Here is a 16449-nt window from a genome sequence, read left to right as displayed (position 1 = left end):
TTGTCTACTTACCAGTATGTATACATTCAGACTGAATGAAAATCACAGATGATTCTGATTTTTTTTAATGGGATATAGGGAGGTTATTTAGCCTGGGTCCAGGAAGTACAATGATTTGTCACTGTGGATAATTGGCACCTGCAATAATTTCTATAACATATCAGTCTTTTAAGTGTGGCTGCTTGAGTGTCTATAAAGAGACAAACATTCCAATAATTCTATGCATACTTTAGGGAATTCCATACCAGTTAATTTGAGTATTGTCAGTATTAGTTTTTCTCAGATTCTTAGCCTCAGATAAGAACAGGGTTTATGATGAATATCAGACTGCCGTGCCAAGAAGACAGTAAACTGAAAACTCCGTTACTTGCAGACATGGAGTAGCATTTTATTACAAGACACAGTGGATCATACCATCAATGTTTTTCCTCCTGTGGCCTTGAGTCGCAGAATGTTTATCAGAAGCAAAACAGTCTGAGTTGGTCTCACCTTTTATTTTATGTATCAACAGGCCACTGCATGAGTTTGCTATGGCATTATGTCCCCCCTTCATTGCTGTGAAGGAGAAATTCGTAGAACTGTGAAAGCAAAGAACTGATGTTGCTTTCCATATTGTTGAGTAAAAAATATATATTCCCATACATTTTTATTGCACTTCTTCCCCTCCATCTAGGGTATAAAGCATGTGGATCACTTTGGCTTTATCTGCCGGGAGTCTCCAGAGCCTGGACTTAGCCAGTATATTTGTTATGTATTCCAGTGTGCCAGCGAATCTCTGGTAAGTAGTGTTATTGCTGTCTGCCTGCTCCTGCGGACACATCTGTCGAACAGAAGACTTGTCTCTTAGGAGCCCAAGCCTTGCAATATGGCTATCTATGGGAAAAGAAGAAGGCGTCTAGAAATATGTTCCTCCCCTTCAAAGCAGCACAGCAGTAGAAAAGCAAAAACAAATTGTCATGGTAAAATATATGCCTACATACTTTTGTGGGTTTAATAAACCCAGTCATGGAAACTTGAGCTTTTTAAAAGGCAGGAAAAGACTAATAATAGGAGAAAAGCTGTTACTTTTTTCATTGCTCATATGAGAAGATAAGGAAGGCCATTGATCTTTTATTTTCTTAACTGCTATAACATTGCAGAGTAGATAATGCTTATATCAGCAGAACAGAGAGCTATTTTGGTTTTCTTCTTTTATTTTATTAGCCCCTTCTTCATTTTTGAAATATCATATACTTTGTGGTCTTACTTTAACCTTAATTTTCTTCTTTGGCATTTAAAAGTCAATTCTCTTTAATACTACCCCTCTCCTACTCTCAACTAAAGGTAATTGGAGTTCAAGGCATTATGTCCCCCCTTCATTGCTGTGAAGGAGAGATTCGTAGAGCTGTGAAAGCAGAGAACTGATGTTGCTTTCCATATTGCTGATTAAAAGATATATTCCCATCAATTTTGTATTGCAGAGTTCAAGGTAATTGGAGTTCATATGTAAGGCAGGCTTGGACATATATCTGAGCGGCTAAGAAATAAGTTGATTTTTTTCCCCTCAAAGTTTTTACTCATTCTTGCACCTATGCCATCTTCCCATGTCATTTTAACACAACCCTTTAGACATATACATCACCATTCTTAGAAAAGTTTACAGAAAATTATTTTCTTAGACATGTGATCCTCCCACCAGGATTTCTCCCAGGGAAACACATACAACTTCGTCATATAGAAATCAGTCAGGCAGCATTGCCCTTGTGCCCTTGGTGAATATCACAATTATCCCTGCCCGACTCTCGCCTTCCACATTCCCAGTGTGGACACTGAGGTTAGGAATAATGAAGAAGTAGGAGTGAATTTGTTCAAAGGCACTTTGTGACCAGCAGCCTCTGGCCTTCATCTTTTTCTCTAAAAGATAGAAAACTCCCATCACTAACACTTTCCTATTCTAGAGGGTTCCATTTGAGTTTTGTTCTCCCTCTAAATAACCACACCTATGCAATATCCACATGTTGATATCCAGAGGCTGTTGCTAAATGGGTTGCATTTAGGACTTGAGATAGAAATTTGAGATTGTCCTTGTGTAAATGACAGTGAAAGGCAGGTTGGATAAACACCCGGGGGAAGAAAGAGAAAGAAAGCCAAAGAAAACCGATGACCTAACACTAGAAAATGCCAACCAAGTAACAGTTTGGTAGAAAGTGGTATCCTAGGATGTTATTCCACACATGCCCCGCTCCCCACCCATCCCCTACACGCCCACACCTCACTCCTTCTCTGTGTCCCTCCTCTACTCTAGGACTGATCCTTCTGTCATGTTCTGGATCCCCCCACTCTGCTACCTTTCTAAAAACTATCATATACCCCATATGTTTTATTTTGGAAGCACCATTTACCTAACTTCTCTACTTACAAATGCTAATGTATCTCTTTCACATTTTATGTGCAGTTGTTCATCAAATCCTATTGACTGAAAGATAAGAATGTCTCTTTTCTCCATTTCTCCCCCATTTCCTCTTTGCTACCCGATTCTAGGCATTCATCTTCTTTACTTGGGCCCTTGTGTTAATGTCCTAACTAGTCGTCCTGCCACTGGCTTAATCTGCCATCTCTTCATTTTCTACATTATGTTAGAGTTTTATTTCTCACAAAATTTCCTCCTTGGAACCTGGTGTATGCCTCACTGTTAAGGGACAAAATCTATATTGTGTAGCACACAGTGGGGCTCACTTCATTCTCTAGCCTCATCTGATGTTATTCTGCACTTAGACCGGAATACTATGCCCTTTCATGACCTTCTTCACATATGTCGTTCGTCTTACAAGCTCTTCTCTGGGTCAGACCACAAAGACTGCTTCGATGGTTGGTGTGATACTGCTTTTAGTTTGGCTTGCTACTGAAACCCACACGTGTTGGTTAGTTCCTGGGACCTAAGGACTTGAGTGAGAGGCTGCAGCTCTCTGAAGGCCCACTGTGGCTCACAGTAGTACAGCTGAAACTCAGAGGTCCCCATTCACTGCATGGAGTGAGGAGTGTGCCATGTGAGAGGATGCCAGAACCAGGGCTTGCTGCCTTTCATACTGTCCGGCTGGGAAGGAAGCCATGTCAGCCTCAAGAATCTGCCTGTTACTAAGCAAGGAGAGTGTGCAATGCTTTAGTTATCTCTTTTTTTTACTGCTTTTAATTTTGGAAGTGAAGCAGGCCTGGCTCTGCCCTACTATAGTCTGAGTACCCTTCCGCTTCTTTTCTACTGCATATTTTTCAGGACCCAGCTTACATATCACATCCTACCGAAGCCTTTCTTGACCCCCTTTTTTGCAGGAATTGCCTCCTTTAGTTGTGCTATTGTTAGTTCTCTTACTATACTTTATTCCTAGGTCTCAAACAGTTCTTGCCAATCCCCACACTCACTTATTGTTGCATAACCACCTACTCTACTAGATTGTGAGTTTCACAGATTTTGGACTGTCTCTTTTACGTGTTGTGTCATGGAGGTTCTAGGATAGCAGGTGCTTGGTACTTTTGTATTTTGAGTGATTGAATGACTGCATTACTCTGAACTTCAGGCAATCATTTTCTAGGTGCTGGTTCATCTGTGATCACTGGAGAACTTGCACTAAAAGGAAAATGATGTAAAACTTTGTTACTTCTAATCTTTTTTACAGGTTTTGTTTTGTTTTTAGTTTTCATTTTGCCCTCATGCATGTAGAATGAGTTTTGGAAACAGGGAATCACAGTAGAAAGTCTGGGAACATGCTGCATTTTTCCACCTAGCATGATCTGTGACTAAGGCAACAGACTTGACTGGCTGTGAATGCCTTCCTACTACTTGAAGCTGTGTCAGAATCCGAGGTTTGGCATAATTATTCTTAAGAACAGGCCTATGCTAGGATCTCTCAAACCATGTTTAATTTTATTGGTAAGCATCTTAACTGAATAGTGAGGCAATAGAACTGCAAGCCTCAAGAAAAAAATTAAACGTAAATTTCCTTCATAATAGAGGATGGCTTAAGCAGCTGATACATAGACCAAAACAAAACAGTCAATTAAATATTATCAGTCTAAGCAGTGTTAGGAGTGATGTGGTTTGTGTAACACAATGTATTGCAACACCACACCTGCTGATTTATCTTCTCTGAGTACCAAGAATACACAATTAACATTTTCTTTTGCTTCTTTGTAATAATTGCTATGAATTTGTAAACAGTATAGTGTTCTGACGGGCCTGGAGGGCTTTGCTGGAAATTTAGATGATCAATTCTTCCTTTTCTCCTGTCTTTGTCTCTCCCAACCTTCTCCCTTCTTTCCTTCTCCCTCTCTTTTCTTTCTTTCTTTCTTAAAATAGTTGTTGGTGAGCAGCTTCATCTTGTTTAACCAACCCTTGAGATTTGTAGAAAATATTATTTCTTCAAAAGTGCTTTCTCTAAAATAGGTTTAAAGAGTTTGAAAAAAGTACAGGTGGACTGCTACTTACAAATGAAGAAAAAGTAAACTCCACAGATGCAGACCAAAATATTTAGGGAAAGTATAACCAAAAGGAAAAAAAAAGAAAAAGACCCAGCTGCCCAAGACCCAGAATTTGTATGGGGTTAATAGTTAATGAAATAAGCATGGTATTTCATTAGAAATGAAATATTAGCATATTGATAGAGGGATGAGATACAAAATCTGGGAAGTTATCTTTCTCTTACATCTGATATTGAGTATATTTGTAAATTTACATCTGTAACAATTAAGGATCAAGCAAAGTGGGAAGATAGCAGGTAAAGAGACAGGGTGAGGTTTCCAATCTGCATGTTTAAATCATGAGGAAAAGTTGCAGATGTTTCAGAAAAGAGCAGTACTCTGTGAAAGTTTCTCATCTAAGAAAAATGGACATAATTGGCATCATTCAGCCTAGGGACAAGAAGTATAGGTCTTAGCTTCAGACATATGAGCTGTCATGTGAGAATTTACACGTAGTATAAAATGCGATAAAATGTGATAAATGGGCTTAAAATCTAACAAATATGGAGAACACTTCAATACATGGGTGGTTAATTAGCCATTGAAGTAGACCTGGTTGTTAAGAATTGTTAAAATAGGATTGATGCCAAAGACTTGGAACCAACCTAAATGTCCAACAACGGTAGATTAGATTAAGAAAATGTGGCACATATACACCATGGAATACTATGCAGCCATAAAAAATGATGAGTTCATGTTAGGGACATGGATGAAACTGGAAACCATCATTCTCAGCAAACTGTTGCAAGGACAAAAAAACCAAACACCGCATGTTCTCACTCATAGGTGGGAATTGAACAATGAGAACACATGGACACAGGAAGGGGAACATCACACACCGGGGACTATTGTGGGGTGGGGGGAGGGGGGAAGGATAGCCTTAGGAGATATACCTAATGCTAAATGACGAGTTAATGGGTGCAGCACACCAACATGGCGCATGTATACATATGTAACTAACCTGCACGTTGTGCACATGTACCCTAAAACTTAAAAGTATAATAATAATAAAATTAAAAAAAAAGATTTTTACAATAAGTATATATATACCCCCCCAAAAAAATAGGATTGATGCCATTCTTTATTGGATAATTTAAAAATTTAAATTTTTTTCAGAGAATTAGACTAGATAATATTTGAAGTCCTTCACATCCTGTGATTCTTAGACTTATTCTCAAATGCTATAAAATATGTAAGTTTGATATATAGTGTAAATGTTTATGAGCATCGTCTGCATTATAGATTTTCCTTCTAATTTTGTAAATTGGGCTTTGTCCTATCTTATGTTTTTTGCTGGAAATTTAATTTGCCCAGTGGTAGTGCCAAAAATAGGTACTTTCTTTCTGTTGGTGTATGATTGATTTATCTTTGCCCATTCCTTTGCTTTTAACCTTTTGACATGACCTATAACTTTGTTGCAGTTGTATCTAGACTAAAATAATTAAGTTATTCACGGTACACTAATTTGAACTTTTAGTTGCACTGATCTCATAATAGAATTTATAGGTCATTTGGGAAAAGTGGTAGATTTTAGAAAATAAAGTATTTATAATTTTAGAAGTCAAGTAAGTTTTTAGTAATATTTGTGTACAGGAGAAGTTGGTAGCCACATTTCAGACACCATGACCCAGAAATAGCAAAAACATCAAAAGTTCATTATTTCTACTAGATACCTTTTACAAGGCGGTATTATTAAATGATGAATAACTTATATGGAAATCATTTATATTACTAGTAGATTGCTAACCCCTTCAGTGTTTAAAATAAATAAGAAACAAGAAAGAATAAATAAAGGAACATCTGCACAAATAGCTTTTGAATGCGTTAACAAGGCAAATGAAATAAAAATGCAAAGGTATTAAACATGTAGTGCTTTTATTTTCAAGAATTAGAAATTATTAGTTTTTGCTTATAGTATAAAATAACATTTTATCAAAAATTACTTTTATTAATGGAATGATAAGAAATTCATAAGCCTTAAGGTTGCTGATATAACAAAACGTAACTGAATAATGACTGACTGCTTGGTGTTTGATCTCTTCTTTCAGAAATAGTAGAAGAATAGTCTGTTTATTTCAGTTTCCTCATATACTGAAATGTAGAAGTAGATTACATTCTTTAAATAATAATTTATTCTTAAATCAGGCCATAGGGGAAGGGGAAAAGAATATAAAAATGTGCTTACCAAGCATGGTAAATGGTTTGGAATATCAAAGCTAGTTCGGATGAGGCCCTTAGTGCTCAATGTCTCTGTTATGCAGGTTTCATAATTTGATCTAAGTCCTACAGAATGTAGGAAAATTACACTTTACATTTGTGATTGTTTCCAGAAAAGGAGATACAACCTAAAATTGGTTTAACAATGCATGGGGATGAGCTGTTAGTTGGTTTCAAAGAAGCATCCAGGAAATAAAAAGGCTAGATTAAAACTTTTTGACTGGGTCATGGAGGAACAAAAAAGAAGTTAACTGGTAGTTTGCAAGCTGCTGGCCTAATGGTGAGACTCAGCTGTTAGATGCCTCTATGTAAGACCTTCTTAGTGTCACAAATCAGAAGTGGAATGATAATATTAATAAATCAGAAGTTACAGGGATAAGCCAGCATTAGTCACAGACTTTCCCCACCATTGTTTAAATGGAACTCATTTTTATCCAGAACTTTACTTAACACTTTTTGTTTGCTTTTACACTAAAAGTAATCCAGAAAAGTAAATAGGATACCTATTAACAAAGTGAATGTTGGACCTATTTTGTTGTTTCATATAAGTGGCAGACAAAACTTCCAAAAGGATCTTTATCTGATAAAGCATATAATTAAACAGAAGGATTAACTAATTAAACTCTCTGTGACGGCATAGCCCTCAATGCAATTTGAAAATAGCATTAAATTTAAATTAACAGAGCGGTATTATATTACACACATTGAAATAATCTTACTTCATCCAGCTTTCAATTATATGTATGAAACGTCTAACTCCAAGACTTAGTATTTTCTCTCGGCTAACTCTCTAGTCATCAAAATTCTATTATTTTTATTTAGTCAGCATCAACAAAGGCTCACATTGCTGTTGAATGTTGAATGTTGCCATGTAAGCCAACTTTTATAGACCTGAGTTTTGTTTCTTCCTGTAGGTTGATGAGGTAATGCTGACTCTGAAACAGGCCTTCAGTACGGCGGCTGCCCTGCAGAGTGCCAAGACGCAGATTAAACTGTGTGAGGCCTGCCCGATGCACTCTTTGCATAAGCTCTGTGAAAGGATTGAAGGTACAGTTTAATGTGGCTTTGGCAAAAGAGAAGTTTGCTTTGGCATTTGGGAAATGAGAAAGTCCCTATTGTCATTGAATAGTTCTTTGTTTCGATGTGAAACAAGAACCCAAAGAATCATTTCTCATGTCCACTCAAATGTGAGTGGGCTGTCAATCTCTGCTAGGTGCTTGACACACACACACACACACACACACACACACACACACACACACTCTCTCTCTCTCTCTACTCTCTCTCCTCTCTCTCTCTCTCATTTCTGAAGGCAAACTCAAGAAGGTATTTGTATTTCCCACAGTTTTTAAGACTCTGCTAAGTACATGGTGGGAACTGACCAAATATTTGTTGAATGAATGAAGAGAGACAAAACCATCACAGAATGTCAAGTGTTTATTTAATATTTCCCCTTTTCTCCTTTACTTGATGATGAGTTCCTTTTCTAAAAATGTAGAACTTTAGTGAAGCCTGCTTGGCTTTTGAAGGACATTTGTCAATGACAGAGATAATAGAGGTGATAATATAAAGCAGTTTTTTTTAATATGTTCTGAGAAGGAGTGAAGGCCATGAGAAAGAGATGATCCTGTGACTCAACTTCCTTTTCGTTTATCTCTTACTAACAACAACACAAAAAAGCTTGAAAACTACTATACAAGACAAAAAACACAATTTAATAAACACTAGTGAAATGTCTACTCTGGACCAGGCAATGTGCTAGGCACTGGGGGATACAGAAATGATTGAGACATGGACTAATCCCAAGAAGCTTACAGTCTAGAGTGGGAGACAGGTGTATTAGCAATTAAATGTAATTCATTATGATAGGTGTTATAATAGATGGGAAGAGTGCAAATTATTAATAAACATAGCAGAGATTGGTCTAGACACTGGAAATGCAAATCATGATTTCTGTTCAGTAGGCAGCAGAATCATAGGCACAAGGCAGAATCAGTGATGAATAACAGTATTCGTTGAATGTTTACACAACTATGTGATCAAACACAGGTTTTTTTTTTGTTGTTTGTTTGTTTTGAGGCACAGCCTTGCTCTGTTGCCCAGGCTGGATTTCAGTGATGTGATTATGACTCACTGCAGCCTCTACCTACCAGCTTCAAGCAATCCTCCTGCCTCAGCCTTCCAAGTAATTGGGACAACAGGTGTGTGCCACCACACCCAGCTAATTTTTTTAAAAAATTTTTTGTAGAGATGGGGTCTCACTATGTTGGTCAGCCTGGTATCAAACTCTTGGTCTCAAGCAATCCTCCTGTCCTGGCCTCCCAAAGTGCTGAGATTACAGGCATGAGCCACTGTGCCCAGCCAAAGACTATTTCAATGTAATAGGCTTAAACAATTATAATTGTAATATTGCAGAATGTACATTATTTTCAAACACATAAAGCATTTAAAAAAATGGAACATTCTTAGCTGTGTGATAAAGGAAGCATGTAAATCTGTGTGTCAACGGGTGCCAGTCACTCAGGAGATAGTGTTGGATCAATTAGCCATCCCAAAAGGGCAAAGATTGCTTATATTCATCCTGCTTAGTAATACATGCTAGATGGATCAAAGTCCTCAGTGTAAACAAACAAAATATTAAAACCATTAAAAGAAAACAAGAAGAGTATTCTTATTTCTTGAAGAGAGATTTATTAAGACACAGAAATGCAAGAACAATCAGAAGAAGACACTGACATATTTGATTTTATGAAAATTTAAAGTGTTTACATAGCAGTAACTGTTTAGGAGTTATATGATCAGTAACAAACAAGGAGATAGCAGATTGGAATCCAGAATTTGTAAGAACTTTAACCTATAAGAAAAAGATAAAACCACGCAGTAGGAAATTGTGTAAGTCATATTGAAAAATACTTCTCAGAAAAGGAAATTAAAAGTTCCAAGAATGGAAATGTAAGGATGCTGAACCTTACTGGATGTCAGAGAAATGAAAATGGAAACAACAATAAGATACTCATCAGATTAACTGTTGGAGAAATTGTATGGTTATGTAATACGTTTGTGTAATACTGATGGGAGTGTAGATTGCTACAGCCATTTTGGGGGGACAGTTAATATAAACTCATTAACCTAACATTGCACATACTCTGTTATCTAGAAGTTCCATGTCTTGATAAGAAAAACTTTTATGTAAGTACAGAAGGTGACATTTAAAATGTTGTGTTACTTGTAAATAATGGAAAATTGGAAATGATCTAAATGTCGATCAATGGCATAATTAGTAGTATATTCACATAATGAAGCAGTTAATAGGAATGAATTTGAACTATGTGTCAACATGGATGCATCTTAAAATTGTATTGTTGAGTGAAAAAATAATTTGCTTAATAACATACAGCATATATTTATATATATGGAAAAGTACATAGTATAATGCCATAAATTTTTTTTTTCAAAAACTTTGATCTACACTCCGTCACTTTCAGGAAGGCAGTCTGGCAATTCCTCAAGGGTCTAGAGCCAGAAATACCATTTGATCCAGCAATCCCATTACTGGGTATATACGCAAAGGATTATAAATCATTCTGTTCTAAAGACACATGCACACGTATGTTTATTGCAGCACTATCCACACTAGCAAAGACTTGGAACCAACCCAAATGCCCATCAGTGATAGACTGGATAAAGAAAATGTAGCACATATACACCGTGGAATGCTATGCAGCCATAAAAAAGGATGAGTTTATGTCCTTTGCAGGGACATGGATGAAGCTGGAAACCATCACTCTCAGCAAACTAACACAGGAACAGAAAACCAAACACTGCATGTTCTCACTCATAAGTGGGAGTTGAACAATGAGAACACATAGACACAGGGAGGGGAACATCACATGCCGGGGGCCTGTCAAGGGGTGGGGGTCTAGGGGAGGGATAACATTACTAGAAATACCTAATGTAGATGACAGGTTGATGGGTGCACCATGGCACGTATATACCTGTGTAACAAACCTGCACATTCTGCACATGTATCCCAAAACTTAGTATATAAAAAAAACAAAACTTTGATCTACTTTTAGATTTACAGAAAAGTTGCAGAGAGTTTCCAAATATTCCTTACCCGTCTTTTCCCATTGTTTATAAGTAATATTTTCCTCCTTAAATTTTATTTTTCAAACCATACACTGTAAAATAAATTAGTTCTGTGTAGGCAAAGTTAAAAACATAGGAGTAAAGAAACAACTTTGTATTTCTGTTTTTAAAATTATTTAAACAGACTCTAGGTGTGTTTTAAAATATGCTTTCTAATACAAAACAGAAGTTTTAAATTCTCATAAAAGTAGGCAGTCTTTGTCAGAAGCTGGCTCTAAACCTATAGGGGAGCTATCACTTATACAAAGGACTCCGTGTAGACATATAGCTGGATCTTGATTTTCTGGAGACTGAAGTTTTTATAGTTTTAAATATCTTTTTTTTTTTTTTGTATTTTCTTAGAGACGGGGTTTCACCATGTTGCCCAGGCTGGTCTCAAACTCCTGAGCTCAGGCAATCCGCCCGCCTTGGCCTCCCAAAGTGCTAGGATTACAGTTGTGAGCCACTGTGCCCGGCCAGTTTTAGATACCTTTTTAAAGAAAAAGAAAAGTAATAAACAATTATGAATTCAGAATTGTTAGGGCCCTTCCCAAAATCTCGAAGGGACTCTGAAACTTAAGCTTTATGCACTTCAAGGCATGCATGTATCTGAAGGGAGTAAAAAGAAGGACTTGTGAGTCACTCAGGGTTGTTTTCCTAAGTCCCTGGATCACACTCTCTGATAGGATTTTTTCCTTCCTCCTTTTTATGTTGAGTAAAGATAGCAGTAAGACAGCACAGTACTCTGATATTAATAGTAAGAACAAAGGTAGTAACAGTAAGGCAGATCCTCTGTAGGCCTCTCCATGTGCGAGGCACTATTGTGTTTCACATGTATTAGCCCATTCCATCCATATGAAAAAAACTGAATCTCTTTTACACATGAAGCAGCTGAGACACTGAGACCCGTAGTGGGGTAATAACTGCTGTATTCACTTTGCTTAGAAGGGGCAGAGCCAGGATTTGGACTTGCCTAATTGGCTTCCAAAGCACCTGGATACCTTTTCTCTAAGAGAGTATCCAAAGGCAGGGACCCTCAGGGCCTGGAAGCCTCCTGGTATCTGTGTGTTTTCCAAACAGTTACTTTCATTTAAGTAAGATAACTGTTAATTCTAAGTTTGTTTTATGCTTAGGTACAAAGTACAAAGCTGGAAGAAGGATCACATTTAGATAAACACAAATTAATAAAAGTATTGTTAGTGAGGAAGATATTTTAAAAAACCAGATAGTAGTATTTTATTTCACTCATTCAGAATTGTAGTATTCTTGTCAATACATTTAGCTGCATTGAGTTCTATTTTTAATGACAAAAATAAGATAAAAATAAAGTAGATAAGTATGTGTATGTGAGCCTTCATCGTCTGTCCTTGTGTTCACTCTTACTGTTTATCCCAGGAGGAACAGTCAGCCATCTCTGTGGACTGAAGTGAATTGAGGGGGTGGCATCGAAGGGGAATGCTGTTTCCCAAGGACCAAACCTCAGAATGTGAATCTGAAAAGTGATGCTGAGTATCACCGAGATAGACCGATTATCCTAATGTTGGTTTCCTACATTAACATGCATAGTGGATAATATACATGCTTTCAATATCAGTAATTCGCCAGTCAGTGATTCCAGTTGCTGGGAGGAAGGAAGTCCAATCAGATTCATGGAAGAGGGAGCATGTATAGTTTGAAAGAAATAAACTCCAGCCAATTCCAATTCTTTGACTAACATAGAGGACTAAAGAAACTTCCTAGTTTATGAATTTAGTTACATACTTCAAATAACTACCTTCTTTATTTTTCTTTTCCTCTTTTCAATCTTTTATCTTCCATGTTAGTCACTTGAGTAATAAACAACAGGAAACAAAACAAAAACAATCATGTGAATCATTATCATAATATGTTGTCTAAGCCTCTGAAGGAGACTTTCCCAGCAAATAATAAATTGTGATAGTGGCCGGGCACGGTGGCTAACGCCTGTAATCCCAGCACTTTGGGAGGCCGAGGCAGGTGGATCACCTGAGGTCAGGAGGTCAGGAGTTCAGGCCCAGCCTCTCCAAAATGGTGAAACTCCGTCTCTACTAAAAATACAAAAATTAGCTGGGCATGGTGGTGGGCACCTGTAATCCCAGCTACTTGGGAGGTTGAGGCATGAGAATCACTTGAACCCAGGAGGCAGAGGTTGCAGTGAGCTGAGATCACGCCATTGCATTCCAGCCTAGGTGACGAGAGTGAAACTCTGCCTCAAAAAATAAAATAAAATAAAGTAAAATAAAATAAAAATAAACACAAAACAGGGCACGGTGGCTCATGTAATCCCAGCACTTTGGGAGGCCGAGGTGGGCAGATCACCTGAGGTCAGGAGTTGGAGCCCAGCCTGACCAACGTGGAGAAACACCGTCTTTACTAAAAATACAAAAGTAGCTGGGTGTGGTGGCGCATGCCTGTAATCCTAGCTACTCGGAAGGCTGAGGCAGGAGAATTGCTTGAACCTGGAGGAGGAAGTTGCGGTGAGTCGAGATCGCGCCATTGCACTCCAGCCCGGGCAACGAGAGCGAAACTCCATCTCAAATAAATAAAATAAAATAAAATAAAATAAACTGTGATAGTGAGTGGTGTCATACCATCAAAATGAATTTAGTTTTCTGTCTGTGATCACCAAGACTTGCACCGAATTTTGCTGTACATTGCACAAAGAAATGTGGAGTGGAGTTTTTGGAAACTTTTCCTCTAGTTCTCATTCAGTACTGCACAGTGGTTTAAAGCAGGCCTGGTGGCCGTGTGGCTGCAGTATGGCAGTACTGTGTGCTTTCTGGCAAGTGTGAAGTGAATTCTAGATCTTTTAAAACAATGTGTATTTTCAGGTGATCCTCCTGTATACTATCTGTAGAGATCTTGATAGTTATTTAATTTTAAAAAGTAGCTCAAATCTATTAAATCAGTTTACTTCAGTTGCCTGGCACCTCATATTTTCTTAGAAATGAATACAATGAGAAAAGTGCACAATGTACTTATAGACTAATACATTATTTTAAAATTCTGTGATGCAACTTAGCGGAACAAATTATAAGTATTTTCGGCCAATTACTTTGTCTTATTCTTTGTAAATAAATACAAAGAATACATGGAAAACATTCAAATTATGTCATAACATCATGTAATATATTTAGTTATAACCTGAGAATGATAGCAAAGGCAGCCTTATAATAACAAATGATTTTAAAATGCCAGCCTACCTATAAGGTTTATTAAATATTATATATATCCAGAATATATATATATATTCTCTTCATAATCAAAATATAGTAGCAATACTCTAAGTGGAACCTAACTGTAATGAAAATCTGCTCTTTTTCTTTGAATCTTCTTTTGAAGAAAGAGAAATCTGTTCTTTAAAAATGAATGGTCTGTTGAATTACTGCAAATATGAATTAAACTTTCTTTTTTAAAAAAAAATTTAAAAACAACCTTCTCATGAAAAAAGATTTTCCCAAGGACTTAATATAAATTATGTGTAAGAATGGGATAGGTTTGTGAATATCATGATATAAAGAAGTAAATGATTTCTTGATAAAATAATAACATTGAAAGTTCACTAAATACTAATGCTATCCTTAAAACTTTATTCTCACAGAACAAGAGCTGCATCGGGGAAGAGATCTCTGTCAAAGCCGTAGTCTTGCCTTTTAATATTATTACTTGTTCTTTCTTCTTTAAATGTCAAGTTGTAAACTTAAAATTTTTGGCCAAGGCTAGTCTTTAGCTTTTATTTCCATGTGAGGTCTTAGGTTAATGTTAAATCATCTGTGAGTTTCTACTGTGGCTGTTTGTTAGTGTAAAGTGGTATCTGGTTGTGCTCAGTATCGCTTAGAAATTCATTGTTAGTAATTTTTGTTGTTGTTGTTTTGAGATGGAGTCTCACTTTGTCGCCCAGGCTGGAGTGCAGTGGCTCGATCTTGGCTCACTGCAACCTCTGCCTCCCATGTTCAAGTGAGTCTCCTGCCTCGCCTCCTGAGTAGCTGGGATTACAGGCCCCCGCCACCATGGCTGGCTAATTTTTGTATTTTTAGTAGAGACAGGGTGTAAAAGAACTAGAATTTGCTTCATGCTTGTCAGAACGCACACAGTCCTGCCATACTGTGGCCACACTGTCACCAGGCCTGTTTTAAACCACTGTGCAGTACTGAATGAGAACTAGAGGAAAAGTTTCTGAAAACTCCTCTCCACCTCCCAAAGTGTTGGGATTACAGGCGCGAGCCACTGTGCCCGGCCCGTTGTTAGTAATTGTAATGCCAAGATCACTACTGGGGGCTGTTGATTTTGGTGGAGAGGTTTTTCATCTAGTTTTAATCATTTCAATGTAGTATTCCAAGGTTTCTTGTAGGCAGGAACACGTCTCCTTGAGAAGATTTAAGTTCAGAGCCTGCTTGGGAAGAGGTGAAGTGTAATGCATTCTCTGCCCCTGGATCTCTGCTGCTAGACTCTGTTTAATACCTTCCCTCATCATTTTCCTTAGGTCTCTACCCACCAAGAGCCAAGCTGGTGATACAGAGGCATCTCTCATCACTGACAGATAATGAGCAAGCTGACATCTTTGAAAGAGTTCAGGTAACATTATTTGTAGGTCTCATAAATAAGACATAAGGAATGAGAATTGGATCCTGTTTTTATGCGTTCCTGTTTTCATTCTGCTGCCTAGAGCTAAAGATGCATGACCTAGAGTACTACTGGATAGAATAGAATGCCATTTTACTTTTGCTTCTGAGCGAAGTTAAAACTCTTAGCTTTATTTACGTTTGTCTGCCCGACAGAATAAAAGGAGGGAAGTGGTGTTGCCATAGTGTTCTTTTGGTTTGTCTGTTGAACAGAAAATGAAGCCAGTCAGTGACCAGGAAGAAAATGAACTTGTGATTTTACACCTGAGGCAGCTGTGTGAAGCCAAGCAGAAGACACACGTGCACATCGGGGAAGGCCCTTCTGTGAGAAGATATTTCCTACTTCACCTACTTTTGTTGTTGTTTAATAATTTTGTTAATTCTTCCCTTTGTACTCTCAGGTTCTTTAGGGCTAAAGTCCTATCAGAGTTTCCTGAACTACCCCCTCACTCCCCCGCCCAGCATTTTAATAGTTTTATAGGTTTTTTTGTTTTTTGTTTTTAAGACGGAGTTTCACACTTGTTGCCCAGGCTGGAGTGCAATGGCACGATCTTGGCTCACTGCAACCTCCGCCTCCCGGGTTCAAGCGATTCTTCTGCCTCAGCTTCCCGGGTAGCTGGGACTACAGGCATGCACCACCACACCCGGCTAATTTTGTATTTTTAGTAGAGACGGGGTTTCTCCATGTTGGTCAGGCTGGTCACGAACTCCCAACTTCAGGTGATCCCCCCGCCTCGGCCTCCCAAAGTGCTGGGATTACAGGCATGAGCCACTGCACCCGGCCATTTTATAGGGAATTTGAGCAGGCACTGACACATTGAGCTAAACTAATGATGGTCTTAAAATGTAAAAGAATTTGTGGGTTTTGGTTAAAAAAAAGCATTAATAGTACATGTTCGTGATTTAGAATGAACATACATTATTTTTAGTTATATTAATCTATTATTTTATTTCCAATTCATATGAACATTTT

The 16449-nt window shown here is 37.7% G+C and overlaps 1 protein-coding gene across 10 annotated transcripts in view, besides 1 other annotated feature; it reads left to right on the top strand.

Moving 5' to 3' along the window:
* TBC1D4 (TBC1 domain family member 4) overlaps positions 1-16449 on the top strand; it is a 198667-nt gene that overhangs the window by 125245 nt on the left and 56973 nt on the right. For 7 of the 10 annotated variants that reach the window (XM_047430809.1, XM_047430808.1, XM_005266603.3 and 4 more), the window contains exons 4-7: positions 674-778; positions 7623-7755; positions 15338-15429; positions 15690-15800. In XM_047430809.1, coding sequence (XP_047286765.1) covers positions 674-778; positions 7623-7755; positions 15338-15429; positions 15690-15800 — 441 coding nt within the window. The remainder of the gene's footprint in view (positions 1-673; positions 779-7622; positions 7756-15337; positions 15430-15689; positions 15801-16449) is intronic. The other 3 variants (XM_047430811.1, XM_047430810.1, XM_011535331.3) reach the window with 1 other exon arrangement.
* Positions 6978-7272: a silencer, noted in NCBI's record as "tiled region #11619; HepG2 Repressive DNase matched - State 16:ElonW". NCBI's record gives its function as "represses a minimal TATA promoter and a strong SV40 promoter by Sharpr-MPRA in HepG2 cells {active_cell/tissue: HepG2}" and the evidence as "EXISTENCE:reporter gene assay evidence [ECO:0000049][PMID:27701403]".

The sequence above is a fragment of the Homo sapiens genome, chromosome 13, assembly GCF_000001405.40.
Source record: "Homo sapiens chromosome 13, GRCh38.p14 Primary Assembly".
Lineage (NCBI taxonomy): Eukaryota > Metazoa > Chordata > Mammalia > Primates > Hominidae > Homo > Homo sapiens.
The sequence above is the reverse complement of the archived record's forward strand: the minus strand, read 5'-3'. Positions and strand labels throughout refer to the sequence as shown.